Raw genomic sequence first — 20,180 nt, 5'->3', positions numbered from 1 at the left:
CGAGGTCTGTGACCTGGGAGGTACCTTCCAGGGGTTCCCATGGGACTTTGCCAGAGTTGGGGTGCCCAGCAGTGGCCCTGGGCATGCCTGCTCCCCACTCTGTCCAAACAAGCATGAGGCAGTGTGGGTGCCCAGGCCCCTGGCCTGCAGCTTGGCCCGTGCTGACTTTCTCCCATCCCCTGCAGAGAGTGGTCTTGTCCTTTGATTTCCCTTTCTACGGGCATCCTCTGCGGCAGATCACCATAGCAACTGGAGGTAAGGCCACGTCGTGGGGCCCCGGGGAGAGTCTGGAGACCTCAGCCCGAACTCAGGGGCCCTCCCAGGGGTGGCTCACTGGAGACAGGGTTATATGAAATGGGAGGAAGGCACATTTGGCTCTAATAGGAGTCTGATTCTCAGGAGGGGGGTCAGTGGACGTCAGAGCATCTCCCTTGCATTAGCTGACCTGCTCATGTGCCTGCACGTGTGTGTCTCCTCGGGCCAGCACGAGTCAGTGTGGACAGCCCTGTGTCCCGGAGTTGCTGAATAAGAGGGAGAGGGAGACTCCACTGAGAGCTTGGGCTCCTGGGGCCAGGCTCCCTGTTGATAGGAGGCACCTGTCTTTAATCCCTGCACTTCAGTTCCACATCCCACTTCCCCAGGGATGGGGAAAGCTGTGAGTCCTCTCCTCTTCCTGCCCCCTCGCCCTATAGTCTGTGCCCTGCTGAAGGGACAGGGAGGACCTTCTCCTATCTGGGGTCCTTTGGCTCCATACACACCAGACCCAGAGCCCGCCAGATGGGGATGGGCGACAGAGGTCTCAGGCTCACTTCCAGCTCTGCCTGCGCTGCCCTTCTTGCCCTTGGGGAAAAGGCCCCCAAAGCGGCCCCTCTGGGCCATTTCTGGTGACTCCTCTGCACCTCTCCCACCCTAGGCTTCATCTTCATGGGGGACGTGATCCATCGGATGCTCACAGCTACTCAGTATGTGGCGCCCCTGATGGCCAACTTCAACCCTGGCTACTCCGACAACTCCACAGTTGTTTACTTTGACAATGGTGAGACTGGATCTCAGAATTTAAGTCACCCAGCTCCAGGGATCCCTTGTCCAGTCCTTTAGAGGAGCACAGGGCCTAGAGAGGGCAAGGGTCCCACAGTCCCACGGCAAAGCAGCCACCTACCTTTCTCTGCTCAGTTTCCTGACCTGTCAGATAGGGGCAAAAATGCCTGCTACCCAGAAGAATCTGATGAGATAACAAAACGACAGTGCTTGGCTCTTAGTCGAGGTAAAATAAATGTTAGGGGCCTTTATTGTTACTTACATTCACCAGGATGTCCCTTGAGCCCCGTCTGAATCCAGGAGAACAGACATTCCTCCTTCTTTTATCTCAAGGAGTCAGAATAGACAAGAAGGAAAGGGAAAGAGATGATCAAGTACAGTATCTGGGGCTGAAGCAGGATCTTCTGGCTCCTCTGCTGCTTGGAAGCCGCGCTGCTTTAGTGAGCTGCCCAGCTCCTGCCTCCTTACCTTTGCAAACTTCCCCATCATCCCGAAGGGACCCAACCTGTGGCCGCTGCCCTCCGACTGGCATTTCTGTAGGGCCCTGCTCCTTGCATGATCTCCCGTCCAGCCGGGTCTCTGTTCTTCTCCCCAGGGACAGTCTTTGTGGTTCAGTGGGACCACGTTTATCTCCAAGGCTGGGAAGACAAGGGCAGTTTCACCTTCCAGGCAGCTCTGCACCATGACGGCCGCATTGTCTTTGCCTATAAAGAGGTGAGTGGGCCCAGCTGCAGAGACAGCTGGGTCTTGGAGCCTTTCTTCATTCAGCAAATATTTAGAGAATTTGCAATGTGCCAGGCATGGGGCTTGCTGCTGGTAATACAGCAGTTAACAAGATGTTTGCGGGTCCTACCCTTTTGGAGCAGTAAGTCTGGTTGCGGAGGTGGACAATAATTACAGGGACAAATGTAGAATCACCACTGTGACAAGCGCTCCCAAGTAGAGGTGCCTGGTGCTAGCTGAGCCTTTCACAGACCTCTTAACCTTGGCAGAGGCCAGGGGAGGCTTTGCTGAGGAAAAGAGTTGAAATCTGAAGGATAAATACGAGTTCAGGAAGCAAAGAGGAGAGTGAAGTATGTTCTAGGAGAGACAACAGCACACAGCACATGCAAAAGTCCTGAGGCAGGACAGAGCACGGCTGGCACAAAGCACTGAAAGAAGGCAGCATGGGCCAGGTGCGGTGGCTCACACCTGCAAACCCAGCACTTTGGGAGGCTGAGGTGGGTGGATCATCAGAGCTCAGGAGTTCGAGACCAGCCTGGCCAACATGATGAAACCCCATCTCTACTAAAAATACAAAAAATTTAGCCGGACGTGGTGGCAGGCACCTGTAATCTCAGCTACTCAGGAGGCTGAGGCAGGAGAATCGCTTGAACCCAGGAGTTGGAGGTTGCAGTGAGCTGAGATCGTGCCACTGCACTCCAGCCTGGGCAACAGAGTGAGAATCTGTCTCAAAAAAAAAAAAAAAGAAAGAAAAAGAAAAAAGAAAAAAGAAGGCAGCATGATGAGCCAGGGTGGTGGCTCATAACCCCAGCGCTTTGGGAGACTGAGGCGGGAAGATTGCTTTAACCCAGAAGTTCAAGACCAGTCTGGAGAACATAGTGAGACACACACCTCTATTAAAAAAAAAATAGAAGAAGGCAGCATGGTTGGAAGGGAGAGAGTGAGGGGCAGGACAGGGCAAGGGAACCACAGATTTGCCCTTGAGAAAAGTCACTCTGGCTTCAGAGTGGAGAACAGGTTGTTGGGGGCTTAGAGGGAATACTGGGAAGTAATTTAGGAGAAGGGTGACAGCAGCTTAGAGTAGGATGAGGGGAAATGGAAAACAGACAGATTTGAGAGCCACTTAGCAGGTTAAGCAACAGAATTCGGAGATGCATTAGATGGGGAAGGGAAGAAATGAAAGAAAGGGAAGGGAAAAGGGTATGTCCCGGGTTTCCGGCCTGCATGGAGTGCCATTCACCGAGACAGAGGAAAGAAGAAAATGTGCTTGGAGGTGGTGTGGAGAGGACTTGGAATTTGGGTGGGGTCCCACTGGGCTTCCAATGTCTTGGAGTCCTCCAGGAGGTGGTGCCATCCAGAAAGATGGGTCTGGAGCTCACAGGGGAGGGCTGGGTGGGCCCCAGAGCGTTTGGGAGGTGGACGGAGTCTCTTCTCCCTGCCGCAGATCCCTATGTCTGTCCCGGAAATCAGCTCCTCCCAGCATCCTGTCAAAACCGGCCTATCGGATGCCTTCATGATTCTCAATCCATCCCCGGATGTGCCAGGTGAGTCTTCAGGGACCCCGCAGAGGCCTTGATGGGGGTAGGACTCCGCTCAGACTGAACCTGAGCTGCTGGGGGGATGGCAGTGGCAGGGAGTAGACAAGGGGCAGAGAGTTGAGAGGGAAACCAGGCAGGAAAGGATGCCCAGTGACTTCCAGCTTTTCTTTGTTATAGCAGAGGGACCATTTTCTCCAGCAAAATCTCCAATGGGAGGCACTGCTCTGGTTGTTAAGGTGAAAGGGAGCCACAGCCCTTCCACTCAGCCCCTGTTCTATGTAGAAAACCTCCAAAGATGCCCTAGTAAGGGGTTTGAGTCCTCCCAGAATACAACCATTGTGGCCTTCCCACTCCAGGTGATAAAGGGAGCATCATAGGATGCCAGGAGACAGGAATCCAGCCTCGGCCATGCTGTTACCTCCCTGTCCTTCAGCAAACCACATCATCTCTCTAGCCTCAGTTGCCTCATCTACAAAATGGGATAGTAGCTGAAGGAGTGCTTCTCCCTCCCAGGCCCTCCTCCAGTGCTGACATTTTAGGAGGTCATAGCTCTTTCTCCCCTGCTCCCGACCCCCATTGCGTGCTCACGAGGGTCTTGGATTTGTACTCCTGGGGAGCGCGGCAGGCATCCCATGCACTGCCGCTCCTTCTAGACCCTTGTCTCAGAGACTTTTTAACCTGACCTCTTCTGCTGAGCCGTATGCACAAGTTCTGCCATGTAGGACCCCGGGAGGTCTGGGGAGGAGCCTTTGTCTGCCCTTCCCACCCCACCTGGGCTTTGATGGGGCCTGGGGGCATTCTCAACTCCACTCTTGCCATGCCAGGCTGGACGGAAGGACACGCTTGGGAGCCCCCAAGTCACCTTCCTGTAGAAGGGCAAGGTACCGCCGTTCTGTGAAATCAGGGCTTCCCGGGGGAGGCATCATTGCCTATTTCTGTTCGGTTCCATCAGTACACGTGTTCTGAGTTCCTGCTTACACACTGGGCCACTATGTTCCAGGCACTGTTGAGATACAGTGAAGAGGAAGGGCATCTGCCCTTGAGGCATTCAGTATCTGAGCACAGCCTTTTTTTTTTTAAACAAAGTCTTGCTCTGTCATTCAGGATGAATGCAGTAGTGCAATTTCTACCCACTGCAGCCTCCACCTCCCAGGTTCAAGTGATCCTCCCACCTCAGCCTCCCGAGTAGCTGGGACCACAGGCACATGCCACCATGCCTGGCTAATTTTGTTATTTTTTGTAGAGACAGGGCCTTGCTATGTTTCCCAGGCTTGTCTCAAACTCCTGAACTCACACGATCCTCCCATCTTGGCATCCCAAAGTGCTGGGATTACAGACGTCAGCCCCCATGCCCCACCCCAAACCTCTGTCTTTAACAGAAATGTTAAGGGTTGGGGAACAATGGGGCCTTTAATCTATTTTTTTTTTAATCTGAAGGAAAGGACCAGGGCTTAGTTAAAAGGCCTTACCCAGTACCTTCTATATGCAAAGTTCAGTGGAGTGTTAGGGGCTCAGCTCTGGAACTGGAAGCCTGAGCTGGAGTCCACACTTTCCACAAGCATCTGACCTCTGGTGAGTCACTCAACCTCTCTGCGTTTATTTCTTTATCTGTAAAATAGGGATAAGAGTGATACTTTGCCCCTACAGCTGCTGCAAACACGCAGGCGATAGTGTATGTAAAGTGTTGGGCCTAATGTCTGGCACATCAGGTCTGTGAGTCCGGTATAAGAATATCTCACTACAGTAGACTTTAAAACTCAGCATTTTATAATCCAGCAGGACACCTTGTTCTGTAGCGAACAGTGCAGGACTAGGAACAAGCAGTGTCCTCATGCTGGTGTCGCAGGTCAGATGCCGCCACAGCACTTTCACACTTTCATGCAGCTTTTGTGACTAGGGACAAAAAGTCACATGCTATAGTGGCGCAGAGTTTCCCTACCTTTACTTGTTTGCACATCCCTCTTTGAGATTTTTGCCATTTCCATGAATTACTATTCTTTTTTTTTTTTTTTTTGAGACAGAGTCTCGCTCTGTTGCCCAGGCTGGAGTGCAGTGGCACGATCTTGGCTCACTGCAACCTTTGCCTCCCGGGTTCGAGTGATTCTCCTGCCTCAGCCTCCTGAGTAGCTGGGATTACAGGCGCCGGCCACCACGCCTGGCTGATTTTTGTATTTTTAGTAAAGACAGGGTTTCACCATGTTGTCCAGGCTGGTCTCAAACTCCTGACCTCAGGTGATCTGCCTGCCTCGGTCTCCCAAAGTGCTGGGATTACAGGAGTCAGCCACCGCGCCCAGCCATGAATTACTATTCATTATTATTATTATTATTAGAGACAGGGTCTCAGGCTGGAGCGCAGTGTCCCCATCATAGTTCATTGCGGCCTCAAACACTTGGGCTCAAGCCATCCTCCCACCTCAGCCTCCCAAGAAGCTGGGGCCACAGGCACATGCCACCATGCCCAACTAATTTTTAAATTTTTTTTTGGAGAGATGGACAGGGTTTTCCCATGTTGCCTGGGGTGGTCTCAAACTCCTGGGCTCAACTTAACCTCCCCTGCAAGCCTCCCAGTGCCCAATGTGCTGGGATTACTGGCCTGGGTCACTGAGCCCAGCTTATTTAGTAATGCATGTCTTTTTTTTTTTTTTGAGACGGAGTCTCGCTGTGTCGCCCAGGCTGGAGTGCAGTGATGAGATCTCAGCTCACTGCAAGCTCCACCTCCCGGGTTCACGCCATTCTCCTGCCTCAGCCTCCTGAGTAGCTGGGACTAGAGGCACCTGCCACCACGCCTGGCTAATTTTTGTATTTTTAGTAGAGATGGGGTTTCACCATGTTAGCCAGGATGGTCTCAATCTCCTGACCTTGTGATCCACCCTCCTTGGCCTCCCAAAGTACTAATGCATTTCTTTATCTTCATTTATAAAGTTATATTTTTTCATGAATAAGTGTATCTGGTCTAAAATGCAAAAGATATAAAAGGATGTACAGAGATTAGGTTTTTCACCTGCCCCTGAACCCTGTCTCTCAGTTCGCCATCTCTCAGCTCTCCTCCCTGGAGGCAAAGGGAGGGGAAACCAGTGTTCTGGGTTATCTCCAGAGCTGCAAGCCTTCAGGTGAGTGAGTGTGTGTGTGTGTGTGTGTGTGTGTGTGTGTGTGTATTTGATAGCATACGATGTCAGTGTTTCTGCACTTGAACAGAGTACATCCTGCCCACTGTTCTGTCTCAGCACACAGTGAGCTGCCTCATTCTTCTCTTTAATGGCTGCCTGATAGTCCATTCCATGGATGGACCTTAATTTAACCTGTCCCCTGGGGGTAGACTTTTCAGTTGTTTTAAATCTTGGGCTATAACAAATAATACAGTAGGTACTTTCATGCCCCCGTGTGAGTATTTCCGTACGCTATATTCTCAGTGGTCCAATCATTGGGTCAAAGGGCAGGGGCATTTACAATTTTGATAGCTGTGGCCAAAGTGGGTTCCACGGAGACTCTGGCACTTTACCCTCCTCATAGGTGGGCATGCCTGTCACCTACTCTTTCGCTTGCCGTGTGTCCCAAGGCAAGGTCTGGGCTGTAGCTGTCACCATCTAATGAGTTGCCTCGAGCTACCTCAAGGGCTGTGGTGAGGATTAGCTGAGATATCCATGCACAGAGCACCAGGCACTGTGCCTGGCTTGGGCGGGGTGCCCAGTAAAGGCTGGTTAGCACCCACCAAGCATCTCGCCCCAGTCCACACCTTCATCTGGGCAGATCTGTGGGTGGGGTGGGTGGCACTCAAGGGTCAAGGGGCTGGTGAATGGGGCCTGGTTAATTCCCAACAGGCCAGGAGTTCTTTCCCCTCTTCAGAAATTCACCAGCTTCTTCTTCCTCCACCTTCCTACAACCTCCCTTTCTATTCTTTCTTCCCAATATCTGCCTGCCTGCAGCATTCCCAGCTGGTAAGCAGGCATAGACTTGCTCCCCGAAGCATACCACCTCTCGGTAGGGCCAGCCGCTAGACACCCTTCCCACGCAACACTGCATGATATCGAGGGAGATGGCAGAGGGCAGGGCATCGGAGTGGAGGGGCATCTGATTTGCATATGCTACTAGAAAGGAGTTTTGTGGTCAAGTTTTTGCTGCTTCTACTTGGGACTAATTCAGCTCTCAGCATAACTAGGGTGGTCCCGGCTTATGGTTCTGGGAGCAAATGGCTCTGGTGGCTTGAGGGCAAAGCGCCCACTGCTAAGCGGCAAATAAGGAATCCCTCCTCCCTGGTCAGCATTTGGGTGGGTTATAGTCTTGATCCATGGGCCCGTTGGCTGGTGGCTGTACCCCAGGCCTAGCCTGCCACAGAAGTGTGGGGCTCGCACCTCACCCTCCCTTCCCTTCTTCTCCGTCTCCCTTTTTAGGGCCCCGTGCCCTCTGTCTCCTTTCTTCCACAAAACTGTCCTGGATGCTGTGGCTCATTGCCACCCATACCACATGGCTCCTCATGAGGCCTTTGTGCCCCAGTGGCCTAGACTTGGATATAAAGCCGGGCAGGGTGTCTGTCAGACAGCAGGCACCTACTCGATACGTGATACGTGTGAATGTCCCTCCCTCCTTCCCTTTCTCAAACACGGCCTTGAACTCTTCTGCGCGTTTCTGATATTTCAGTGCCTCTGTTATGTTGCTGCTACACGAGGAACTGTTTTTAAGCTAGTAGAGCTGTTTTCCTGTCTTTGCCATATGTGTATGGAGCAGTCTTTGAAACTGCACACAAGCGGCGACAGCAGAAAACTCTTCCTTCAGCTCCAATGTGTGGCTTCCCTTGCTCCATGCCATGGGGCCCTGTGGATATCACCTTATCCTTTAAGGCCCATTTCCAACCCTAGATATTAGATCCTGGGCTGAGAGTCAGTGCACCCCACTACAGTTGTATCAGTTGTCAAAATATTGAAATACTTGCATTCTTGTTGGCAAATTGCTGCTGATTTGAGCCCCCTCGTACCTCCCACGACCCCTCCTGCCCTCCCCTTAGCCCCCTGCGCTCCCAGTCCTCTATCAAGTATTACAGCCTGGGCTCCAGGACCTGGCTCCATGGCTGCAGGCAGCATCTGCTCTGACTGGTTGGTAAACGCCTGTGTTGAGCCAGTTGTTAAATCATCTCCGTATCACCTGGTTGCATTAGTTAGCTACAGCTGTATAACAAATTGCTCCAGAATTTAGTGGCTTAAAACTGCAACATATTATCTCAGAGTTTTTATGGATCAGGAAGCAAAGCACAATTCAGCCAGGACCTCTCATTCAAGGTCTTTCACAGGCTGCGACTGAAGTGTTAGCCAGCGGCCAGGCACGGTGGCTCACGCCCATAATCTCAGTTCTTTGGGAGGCCAAGGCAGGGGATCTCCTGAGGTCAGGAGTTTGAGACCAGCCTGGCCAATATGTCGAAACCCCATCCTTACTAAAAATACAAAAGTTAGCTGGGTGTGGTGATGGGTACCTATAATCCCAGCTACTTGGGAGGCTGAGGCAGGAGAATCGCTTGAACCCGAGGGGCGGAGCTTGCAGTGAGCTGAGATCGCACCACCTCACTCCTCACACCACTCACTCACGATTTCACTGGGTGAAAGAGTGAAACTCTGTCTCAAAAAAAAGAAAAAAAGTGTTAGCCAGGGTCACAGTTACCCCCGTGATGGGGTGGCAGGTGGGGAGGGTTGGGACCGGCTTCAGAGCTTTCATGTGGTTTGGCAGGATTCAGGATTCAGAATTCAGGATTCAGTTCCCCAAGGAGGCCTTCTTTGGCTCCTTGCCTGGTAAACTTCCCCATGATATGGCAGCTGGCTTCCATCAGAGCAGGCAAGCGAGACAAAAGCAGAGGGCGAGGAAGACGCAAACCAGGGTCTTTTTATAGCTTAATTTTAGATGTAACATCCTATCTTTTTTGCCACATTCCGCTGGCTAGAACCAAGTCACAGATCCAGTCTACGCTCAGGGACTGGATTGCACCTGGGTGTGGATACCAGGCAGCCACCGTAGAGGCTCTCTGGGGGCCATGCTAGCGTCTGCCTACCACACTGATTATAATCCTCTTTCCCATGCACTAAGCTGGACAGTGTCTTGGATCTTCCCCAAACATTGTGAGTTTGTACATTTGTCCCTTTCTAAATGAGGACACAAATGTTCAGAGAGGTAGAGTGACTTATCCTTGGTCACACAGCTATGAAAGGAAGAATTCAAGTCCAGATCTTCTCCATTTAAATCCTGGAGTCCACCACTGAGCCTTTCTTAGACTGACCCACTCCCATTCCACCCAGGGGAATCTTTTCCTCCTCAGCTCCCCCAAACACCCACAGAGTGGGGTGTGCAAACTCCCCAGGCTGCTTCTTGGGACTGTTCTTGGTGTCTGTGCCTTATTTCCTTCCCTATCCTGCATCCCATGTACATTACTGAGCCCACTGTCGGGGCAGGGATGTGTCTGTTTCATCTGCACCTCCCTCAAGGGCTTCTTCCAGGCAGAGTCTCAGGAAACGTGTGCCTGATCAAGCTGTGGAATGAGGGTGAATTAGAGGGGGTCAGATCCCCGGTAGCATCTGCCTCTGAGGCTCCTCTGTGATTCTGGAATGAGAAGCCCCTTTAGAGCAAACCAGAGAGATGAGGGGTGAAGGGGGCGGGGAAGCACAACCCACCTGAAAGAGCAGGGAGGCTATGTCTGCTCTGCAGGATCAGGAGGAAATCTCGGTGGTGGGAGCGGTTGGAGTCTGACTCCAGGTGCTGTGTGCTGAGGTGTTGGGTCTACCTGCCAGGTGAAAGCCAGCACCTGACCCCCAGACACTGCCAGCAGCTCCCAGCCTCGTCCTCCTTCCCTCTGTCTCCTGTTCCTCCTTGTCACCATCAGATCCGATCACATCACTCTCTGACTCCTTGCTGCCCACAGGTCAGGTCAAAATCCTCAGTGTGGCATTCAAGGCCGGGCACAGCTGGGTGCAGTCAACCACGCAGGCGCATTTCCAAACCCTCCCTCCGCTCACCGCCCTCTGCCTGGGGAGCTCTGGTCTGTGTCCCCTGGGTTCCCTGAACATGCTAAGGGCTGTCCACATCGGTATGACACAGTCCCCTTGTATAAAACGCCTCTTACTCCAATCTTTTTTACTGCTTGGCACCATTCTCCCTCTCCAGCGGCCCAGGTCAGATGCTGTGCAAGTAACCACTCCGCCATGCAGTGGAATTCACGGCTTCCTCTTCTTCCCCCCGGCACTTCGCTGATACTTTTTTCTTCTTCTTCTTTTCTTTCTAGTGGTGGCGAGAACAAATGCTGATACTCTTAACATAGAACTTATTGTCCTCCCCAGCTAGGTGTGAATTCCTTGGGGGCTCTCTATGGCCCCCAGCAGTGAGCCCAGTGGGCAGGCACTAACATTTTTAGAAAATGAGTAACTACAAGAAAGTGGACCTAGTTGCTGGGGTTAGGGCACCGCTGAAGGGAATGGACATAGCATAGACCTTGTCCTCTGCTCTATTGTGACTCTAGGTGAGAACAGGGGTCTGACACCACTTGAGTTTGGGAGTTGAGTGTTTTGGAAATTGCATCCCTTTTTGTCAGAGGTTTTTAGCTTACGGGAACAAGCATAAAATTCAGGAAGTCTGGGAATCTTAAAATTGTATACGGATTTTTTTTTTTTTTTTTTTTTTTTTTGAGATGGAGTTTCACTCTTGTTGCCCAGGCTGGAGTGCAATGGCGCAATCTCGGCTCACTGCAACCTCCACCTCCTGGGTTCAAGCAATTCTCCTGCCTCAGCCTCCGGAGTAGCTGTGATTATAGGTGCCCGCCACCACGCCTGACTAATTTTTGTATTTTTTAGCAGAGACGGGGTTTCACCATGTTGGCCAGGCTGGTCCTGAACTCTGACCTCAGGTGATCCGCCCACCTTGGCCTCCCAAAGTGCCGGGATTACAGGCGTGAGCCGTTGCACCTGGCCTTTTTTTTTTTTTTTTTTTTATAGACAGGGTCTTGCTCTGTCGCTCAGGCCGAAGTGCAGTAGCACAATCATAGCTCACTGCAACCTCAACTTTCTGGGCTTAAGCGATCCTCCTGCCTCAGCCTCCTGAGTAGCTGAGACTATAGATGTGTACCACCATGCCCAGCTTATTTATTTATTTATTTATTTATTTATTTATTTATTTATTATTTGTAAAGACAAATAATAAAATAGGGTGGTATTGAATTCTTACGCTCAAGCCATGCTCTGGCTTTGGCCTCCCAAAGCACTGGATTACAGATGTGAGCCACCGTGTAAGGCCTGTATGTGGAGTATTGAAATGCAAGTGGAACATGTTCACATCCATGCGTTTTTCTGGGACAGTATCCATGGCCCTCATTGGGGTTTAAAATGGGCCACAGCCTCTGCTCCTGGGGAGAAATGGCTTTTATGTGGCTAAGGGGTCAGATGACTTTGGGTCTCACATTCAATCCGGCAAGCAGGGAATTTGTTTGGATTAGGTTGAGCTGCAGGTAATAGTAAACCCCAAATGATCATGGCTTAAAGGAAACAGAAGTTCAGGAAGAGCCATCTGGTCTGCAGACCCTATGATCACCATGGATAATCCTATTGACCAAGCCCACCTGATCATACAGAATGGGTGGCGTCACTGTCCTTGTGCCCAGGTTTGACTGCTCCCTGCCTGGGGCAGTGTGAGGAGGGGAGTTTGATTCCTCACTATTTAGGAATCCCCAGCCACTGAACCCTGTCTGGGGAAAACTCTCCTCCCCCAGGTTCTAAACACTTTCCTCCCCACCCCTGCTAGGCAAGGGGATGGGAGGTGCAATGGGGAGGACTCCTCACAGCCTCACTCCTGGGGGAGAGGGTAGAAGAGGCTGAAAACCACAAGAGTTCTTACCAGTACTTCCTCGTATAAACTCTTCCGCAGGCTTTTCAGCAGAGTCTGCAAAGCATCTTTGGTGAAAAGAAAAGTCATGTGCAATTAGCAGCATCTGTTTGCAGAGGCACTCAAAACACACAGGACAGTGTATCCGCTATGTGGCTGGGGAGACCGCCGGAAGTCAATATTATTTCCTCTGTTCATTTGCTTAAGAAACTCTTTATTTCATGGTTAGTATAAAAGCAACTTTAGCATTGCCAACATCGAAACTGACAGGGATTCTGAATTAGTGGGATCAGTTAGTGAGGATTTTCTTACAAAGAGCTCCAGAATGTAGCCTGCCCCTTGGCTGGCCCCGAATGGCCTTGGACGGCCCCAACATGCTGGTCCTCCTCCTTTACCGGAACTTTCCTGTCCTTTCCGAGGCAGACTTGAGTCCAGATATATGTCAGGGCCTGAGCTGTGTGTACCTTCCTGCCAGGCTGCAGGTAAGGGAGGGGTGGGTCCCAGAGCAGGCTACAGAAGGGATCTAGGGGCAGCCACGTGAGGAAGTGGGTGCAGGGAGAAGCTGAGGATCTGGCCAATTTTGCCTTTTCTGATAAAGGATCCTTTAAAGTGCCCTTCGTTGGAAGTTTTTAATCCATCTGGGGGCCCATCCTTCCCTCTTTTCCCTTCTCACTTCTGTTTTTCCCACTACTCTGCTCCCTGAGTCATTTCTGGCCTCTTCTTTCTCTGCCTTTTTCTGCTTTGCTTCAATGCTGAGGGACCCCCCTACTTCTCCCCCGTGGGGCAGGGTCCCCTGCTGGGGCTCCACTCGTGATTATTGAATGAATAATCACATGAGCCAAGGAACAAAAGAATGCATGAAGACTTTTTCCCAACCCAACCTCTTAGATTTTTTTATACGGTAACCACCCATTCCAGGTGGGAGTTTGTGGATCGACCTGTCATCTCCTAACTTCTTCTGGCCAAGCCAGCACTCTCCCATGGGCATCTGGCATTGAAACACAAAGGGACATGCAAACCTCTCACTTGAACCATTAACATTACTTGTTTGGGGCCAGGCATGGTGGCTACGCCTGTAATCCCAGCACTTTGAGAGGCCGAGGCGGGTGGATCGTTTGAGGCCAGGAGTTTGAGACCAGCCTGGCCAAGATGGTGAAACCCCATCTGTACTAAAAATACAGAAATCAGCCAGGTGTGGTGGCAGGCACCTGTAATCCCAGCTCCTCGGGAGGCTGAGGCAGGAGAATTGCTTGAACCCGGGAGGTGGAGGCTGCAGTGAGCTGAGATTGTGCCACTGCACTCCAGCCTGGGCGACAGAGCAAGACCCTGTCTCAAAAACAAAAACAAAACAAAACAAAAACAACCCCCCCGCCAAAAAAAAAAGACAAAAAACAAAAACATTTCTTGTTTGGGCAGCAGTGTTTGCCAAGTCTGGACCTGAGTATTTCTGAATCTTTGATGCCTGGAAGCAGAGATAAAACAGAACACCTTAAACTGCCAGAAATGGTGCTCTGGGGAAGCCTGCGTCTTGGTTCCAGAAAGGATCTGTTGGTCATGGAGATGGAAGTCATTGTCTTGGGCAAGCTCCAGATGTTGGTGAAACAATCCAAAACAAATAACCCAGGCTTGGGGGGTTGGGGGGGGGGGGCGGGGCGTAAGGATTCTTTTATTAAAAAAATAAAAATATTACCAAACCCACACTCGAACAAGTACAAGCTGGCAGTTGAAGTGAGCAAATAGTTTCAATTAGAGATATAGTTCCACCCCCCACCCTCATCCCCCTTTCTGCCACCACTCAGCCTCCCCCACTCCGCTGGAAGGACTGTATTTTCAGAGGACAGCTGGCATCCCTGGCTGCACCCATGCTTGGGGCACATCCCCAACTCTGCCCCCCAGCCCGGATGGTGGGGAAACCCATCCCTAGAGCCTGGTGTGAAGTTTCTAGGAGACTTGGCTTCCCTGGCTGCCACTTGTGTCTCTATCCTCGAACTCAGTTCCCTTGAAAAGTCTGAGTCTCTATCTGTGCCCCACCCTGAGTCCCTTTGTCCCTCCCATTTCCCCTTCCTTCTGATGAGGGAAAGCTCTGCCCTGCAGCCTTGCAGGTGGAGAAATCCTGAAAGCCAGCTCTCCTCCCGCTTTGAGATCTAGCTTAGGAGGCGGCATGTCTGGTTTACTGTGGTCTTTCAGGGTTGTCCTTTTGAGAATGGCAGTAATTTGTGGTGGGCTGGGGAGGGAGGGCGTGCTTCCTTTGGGCTGTGGGCTGACGTTATAAGTTGCTGAGGTTTTCATGACTATTTGTAACCCATTCATTCACTCACAGTCATTTCTTAAGGTCCTGTTAAGTGCAAGGCCTGGTGCTAGGGGATGAGGTACAGAGATAAATTCCATGCAGACTCTGTCTTAGCGGAGCTTGTGGTCTGGCTGCGGGAGTGGCCAGGAGAGCAGATATTGACCAAGCGATGTAATGGGGGACACTGGACATTGCTCAGGGAGTTGTAGACTCAGAGTGGGGCCGGGTCGGGGGGCAGTCACTTTGCCTGAGAGTGGGGGAAGTCTTCAAGGAGGGGACGTCATTTGAGCTGAGTCTTGAAGTATGAGGCAGTTGAAGCAAGAAAGGTTGACATTGGACTCTAGAACCTATGGCCTCAGGCACCCTGGAAGTCAGGACATGGGAGACTTGGAGTTTCATGTTTATTTTTGATCCCATTGCGTTTTGGTGCTGAAGGGGAAGGAGAGATGGCCCCTGGGAGTAATGAGTGGGGATGGTGTGTGAAAGTCTGCTTCAAACTTTCCATCCTCATCTAGATATTCCCAGGCCCCCAGGCTTACTCAGAGCCCAGGCCACCTTCTCATGGCCATTGGCATCACTCAGGGGCACCTGCAGCACAGGTGGCCTTGGTGCCACCTCTGGGCATGTGAATTACAAAAAGGTGCCCATCCTCCAATCTCTGTCAGATCCCACTCGGGCTTGGCAAAGGGTCTTTCTTGTGTCAAAGGGTTGCATATGTGTGTGCATATGAGTATGTGCTCATGTGCAGGTGTGTGTGTGTCTTGGAGGGCTGGGGTGTGCACATGCGTGTGCGGGGCTCTGTGAACCCCTCGCCACCTCAGCTTTCCATGGAGGGTTCCCTCCTCTTAGAGCCACAGTGACTCTGTAGACACCCGGCAGTTACTGCCTGATATTTACGAGGCTTGCCACGGGGCCTCCTCTCTCAGACTTAGGGTTCTTTAGGAGACAAACACACAGTCATTCCATCTTTTGGATTTTGGCTTAATTTTATATATATATATATATATTTTAAGACGGAGTCTTTCTCTGTCGCCCAGGCCGGAGTGCAATAGTGCAATTTCGGCTCACTGCAGCCTCTGCCTCCCGGGTTCCAGCGATTCCCCTACCTCAGCCACCCGGGTAGCTGGGATTACAGGCGCGTGCCACCATGCCTGGCTAATTTTTGTATTTTTATAGAGATGAGGTTTCACCATGTTGGCCAGGCTGGTCTCAAACTCCTGACTTCAGGTGACCCGCCCACTTTGACCTCCCAAAGTGCTGGGATTACAGGCATGAGCCACTGTGCCCGTAATTTTTAAATAAATGTTTTTATTTTTAAATAAACAACTGGGCTCGGTAAATTGTAAAGAGATGTGGCCTGACGCAGTGGCTCGCGCCTGTAACCCCAGCACTTTGGGAATTGGAGGCGGGAGGATTGCTTGAGGCCAGGAGTTTGGGACCAGCCTGGGCAACATAGGGAGACCCTGTCTCTACCAAAGAATAAAAAAAAATTACCAGGGCATGAGCCTTTGGTGGGGGAGGTGGAGCTGGGGGCAGGGACTGAAGTGGGAGAATCACTTGAGCCCACGAAGCCAAGGCTGCAGTGAGCCGTGATTGCACCACGGCACTCCAGCCTGGCAACAGAGTGAGACCCTGTCTCGAACAAAACAAAACAAAACAAAAAAGAAAGAAATGTAAATGTTTCCCTTTGACTCTTTTAGAAACACAAATCAGGAAGCTCTCAGCAGGGGTGTGCTGGAGATCATGTATGCAGCTGGGTGAGAGGCAACTGAACATGTCTCTTCCTAACTCCATGTTCAGTAACTTTTTTGAAAGGGTAGCTGGAAGTCAGCTACCGTGGAAGTATTTACACCACAGAAATTGGCAACAACGGCAATTCAGGACTCCTCTGCCCCTACCTGCACCCCAGCCCCCAGGCAGTTGTTAAATATTTATCTGCACTCACAACTTTGGTGACTTTCTGGAGCCACAGTGGCTTCCAGCCCTGAGGTTTTTTAAAAGTCTAGCCTCTGATTTTAAAACAAAGACTGTGTGGCTTTGGGCAAATAACGTCCCCTCTCCGATCTCACTTTTCTCCTTTGTAAAGTGGGGAGAGCAGCGATGTCTGTCTGTGCACCTCAGGAAGTTGTAAGGGGAAATGAGATGGTGCAGCTCCAGGGAACCTGCAAGGCTGCGAGCTAACAGAGTGCTCTGCACTCAGCACAGCCCCTGCACAGAGCAGGTGTCTGCACCGACATGCTGAAGGAGTCAACAAATGTGCTGCATGGTGGCGCTGTGCTCTTGTAGTTTTCTCGTTTAAGTAGATGTTTTCCGTCTACTTAATGGCTAGGCTTGGTAAATTGTAAAGAGATGTGGCCTGTGTGGTGGCTCATGTCTAGAACCTCAGCGCTTTGGGAGGCTGAGGCAGGCAGATTGCTTGAGCCCGGGAGTTGGAGACCAGCCTGGGTAGTACAGGGAGACCCATCTCTACTAAAAATACAAAAATTAGCCAGGCATGATGGGGTGTGCCTGTAATACCAGCTACTTGGGAGGCTGAGGCAGGATTACTGAGCCTGGGAGGTCAAGGCTGCAGTGAACTGTGATTGCGCCATTACACTCCAGCCTGGGTGACAGAGCGAGACCCTGTCTCTAAATAAATAAATAAATGAAAAAGTAAAGTGCTATACAAAGTTGTATCTGTCTATGGGTTAATCTGTCTGAACCTCAGTTTCCCCACTTATGAATGAATGGCAAGACAACTTGATTTTTTTTTTTTTTTTTTTTTTTTGAGATAGAGTCTCACTCTGTTGCCCAGGCTGGAGTGCAGTGGTGCAGTCTCAGCTCACTGCAGCCTCCACCTCCCGGGTTCAAGCAATTCTCCCGCCTTAGCCTCCCAAGTAGCTGGGATTACAGGTGCTCACCACCACGCCTGGCTAATTTTTTAAATTTTTAGTAGAGACGGGGTTTCACCATGTTGGCCAGACTGGTTGCAAACTCCTGACCTCAAGTGATCCACCTACCTCGGCCTCCCAAAATGCTGAGATTACAGGTGTACAGCCAACTTGACTTCTTAACTCCCTTGCTCTCTCAACCTGATATGTCTGAGTCTCTGCAGCTGTAGCTCATCTCCTCTCTCATAAAGCCCACACCTGCGCAGTGCTCGCCTTGGGGACCACCTGGACTCCTCATCCCACCCACTCTGTCCAGCTGCTTTCCTGAGGAGGAGCAAGTTCCCTGATCTGCCTGGGATGGAAGGAAGGGAGGGAGACGTGGGAGGAGGCCTGGATCTCATTCTAAACCATCCGGCTCCAGTGCAGGAGTCGGGCGAAGGAAGGAGCTGCAGGGCTGGAGCTGTCATCCTCCTGGTAGGAAAGGAAGACCAAGGCTAAAGTCCTCTCCACTGCCTCTCCCCATGGGAGTCAGTGGGTGTGTGTTGCGGGGAGATGGATTCCAAGATAAGTACTCTCTGAGCAGCCCTCAGAGGGGGCGTGGGAAATTCACCTCAGTCTCCAGGGTCCCCAGTCCATTCACCACCTGAGCACTGCCGTCCCCCACTGCTCCCATGACCTCATTCTCCAGTGGTGGCAAAAGCAAGAAACAGTAATCAGGAAGAAACAAGGGGAAGCTAGGGTGGGGGCAGTGGCATCCACAGCAGGAGAAGCAGGCAGCCTGGACTGTGGGGGCAGCAGAAGAGAGGAGAGGCCTGCAGGATGACGGGTGGGAACAGGGCGTCTGGAGTGCCAGCACAGTACCGCGGTCAGGCCGCCTCTGTGGGCCTCCTCTCTCTCCACAGCAGCGGGGAACTGGGGGACCCATCAGACTTGCTGACAAGAAATATGCCGTCCTAGAGAGAGAGAGACAGAGGGAGAAAGACAGAGTAAGGACAGGAAAGAGAAAGCAATGCGTGCCATCCTTCCTCCTCATGTTCAAGTTTATAAACATTGCTTAAGGTGGACTTTGAGGGGTTAGAAGAGGCTGAAAATGCCCTAGAGTCTCAGCCATGAGAAGAACAGCAAAAAAGCAGTCGGGGCAGAGAGAAAAGGGGCTCACATGCTTCGAGGGCTCCTGGGGTCCTTGTGCGTTGAGTGTCTCCCTTAATTCTCAGGACAACACCATTTGCATGGCATCACCAGCCCCATGTGTGGATGCGGCTCACTGAGTCCCTTGTCCAAGGTCACACAGGCGGTAAGGGCAGAGCCTGTCTGCCCAGCTGCGGCAACCCTAAGCCTCCTCTCCTTGTGTGGTCACCCTCCGGGGGCCGAGCTTCTTTTCCTCCATGCTCTCATCAGTGCCCCCATCTGCTTTCCCCTTTCCACTCGGCCTGGAGCAGCATCTGGCCTGTGGGTAGCAGGTGCACCCTCCTAGTGGCATGGGAGTGGGGGGCACCAGCATTTCAGACAGGCCTCAGGGATGTAGATGCTGCTCAGCTCCAGGGAATCTTTATTGACACCAATGCCAGAGTAGTCTTCTTTTCACTGCATGGAATGACATTCCAAGGTCTTGAATGTTTCAGGGGCTGAAGTGTCCTGCAGCAGGGCATTGTGTTGGGAAGAGAGCATGCTTTGGTGCCAGACCCACGGGGGCGCAGTCCTGGGTTAAGTAGGAGGGACTAATTCCAACGTTAAGGATAAATAAATAATGAGATACAGGCCAGGCATGGTGGCTCACACCTGTAATCCCAGCATTTTGGGGGTCTCAGGCAGGCATATCACCTGAGGTCAGGAGTTTGGGACCAGCCTGGCCAATATGGTGAAACCCCCTCTCTACCAAAAATACAAAATATTAGCCAGGTGTGGTGGTGGGCACCTGTAATCCCAGCTACTCGGGAGGCTGAGGCAGGAGAATTGCTTGAACCTGGGAGGCAGAGGTTGCAGTGAGCCGAGATCATCCCACTGCACTCCAGCCTGGGTGACAGAGCGAGACTCAGTCTCAATAAGTAAATAAATAATGAGATACTATGTGAACCATGGACAAAGCTCCTCTAGGTTCCTTACATAGGAGGGGATGTGGGGGTGGGGCACCCAGCAGTGGCACGGGACGCCCACCCCTTTGTGGATGCCCCTACTCAGCTCTTCTGCCACCTTGGGAAATTTTCCTCCAAACCACCTTCAGCCGAGCGAGAAACGTATGTCCCCACCTACTTCTAGTGACGAAAACCCAATTCAAACTCGCTTAAATGGAAAAGGGGGGTGCACGGAGGATACTGAAGTAGCCCAAAGAACCAAAAGAAGAGCTGAATAGTGGGGCAGGTCCTGGAACCCCAGGGCCCAGAACATACCAGCACTTCCTGTTTCTCTCCATGAGGTGGCTTCATTCTCTGCCTTTCCCCATGAGCCCGGTACTGTGGCCATTCACAGGTTCTGAGCCTGCATCTTCTCAGCTTCATTACCAGACAGCAAAAGGCCTCTTGGTTACAGTTGAAAAGTCCCAGGGGAGGTCTCTGATTGGTCCAGCTCACAGCCGATACCCAGGCCTGGAACAATCACAGCGTGGCCAGAGAGGCAGGATCATGGAAGAAGATGGCAGCTGTGGTTCAGCCCACCTGTAGGAATGGGCCAGGCACAGTACCCCAAGGGGAATGCTGCTGTTTCCAGAAGACGAAAGGGTGTTGGGCGGACCAAACACTGAGTGGTTCTTTCCTCTTGTGGGGTAACTCATTCTCAAAGCTCAATTCCTGGCTGTCTGCTTCTTATTCTTTTTTCTTTCTTTTCTTTCTTTCCGTTCTTTCTTTTCTTTCTATTCTTTTTCTCTTTCTTTCTTTCTTTCTT

At 51.5% G+C, this 20,180-nt stretch overlaps 1 protein-coding gene and 1 pseudogene across 18 annotated transcripts in view, besides 3 other annotated features; one reads left to right on the top strand and one right to left on the bottom strand.

Moving 5' to 3' along the window:
• Window positions 1–20,180, top strand: part of PLXDC1 (plexin domain containing 1) — an 89,655-nt gene that overhangs the window by 43,809 nt on the left and 25,666 nt on the right. For all 17 annotated transcript variants that reach the window (XM_047436434.1, XM_047436432.1, XM_047436435.1 and 14 more), the window contains 4 exons: window positions 186–255; window positions 914–1,036; window positions 1,634–1,752; window positions 3,206–3,305. In XM_047436434.1, coding sequence (XP_047292390.1) covers window positions 186–255; window positions 914–1,036; window positions 1,634–1,752; window positions 3,206–3,305 — 412 coding nt within the window. The remainder of the gene's footprint in view (window positions 1–185; window positions 256–913; window positions 1,037–1,633; window positions 1,753–3,205; window positions 3,306–20,180) is intronic.
• Window positions 61–249: a silencer, noted in NCBI's record as "fragment chr17:37265163-37265351 (GRCh37/hg19 assembly coordinates)". NCBI's record gives its function as "represses an EF-1alpha promoter that drives an FKBP-Casp9 reporter gene in an ReSE screen in phorbol 12-myristate 13-acetate-treated (for megakaryocytic differentiation) K562 erythroleukemia cells {active_cell/tissue: K562(+PMA)}" and the evidence as "EXISTENCE:reporter gene assay evidence [ECO:0000049][PMID:32094911]".
• Window positions 9,611–10,212: an enhancer, noted in NCBI's record as "H3K27ac-H3K4me1 hESC enhancer chr17:37255200-37255801 (GRCh37/hg19 assembly coordinates)". NCBI's record gives its function as "activates a minimal SCP1, AML or CMV promoter by ChIP-STARR-seq in primed H9 embryonic stem cells {active_cell/tissue: H9 hESC(primed)}" and the evidence as "EXISTENCE:reporter gene assay evidence [ECO:0000049][PMID:30033119]".
• Window positions 16,086–16,155: an enhancer, noted in NCBI's record as "active region_12088". NCBI's record gives its function as "activates an Ori minimal core promoter by ATAC-STARR-seq in GM12878 lymphoblastoid cells {active_cell/tissue: GM12878}" and the evidence as "EXISTENCE:reporter gene assay evidence [ECO:0000049][PMID:35858748]".
• Window positions 17,201–20,180, bottom strand: part of RDM1P5 (RDM1 pseudogene 5) — a 34,940-nt pseudogene continuing 31,960 nt past the window's right edge. The window contains exon 6 of the transcript NR_174975.1: window positions 17,201–18,256. The product of NR_174975.1 is annotated as an RDM1 pseudogene 5, transcript variant 2 (transcript). The remainder of the gene's footprint in view (window positions 18,257–20,180) is intronic.

The sequence above is a fragment of the Homo sapiens genome, chromosome 17 (genome assembly GCF_000001405.40).
Source record: "Homo sapiens chromosome 17, GRCh38.p14 Primary Assembly".
NCBI lineage: Eukaryota > Metazoa > Chordata > Mammalia > Primates > Hominidae > Homo > Homo sapiens.
The sequence above is the reverse complement of the archived record's forward strand: the minus strand, read 5'-3'. Positions and strand labels throughout refer to the sequence as shown.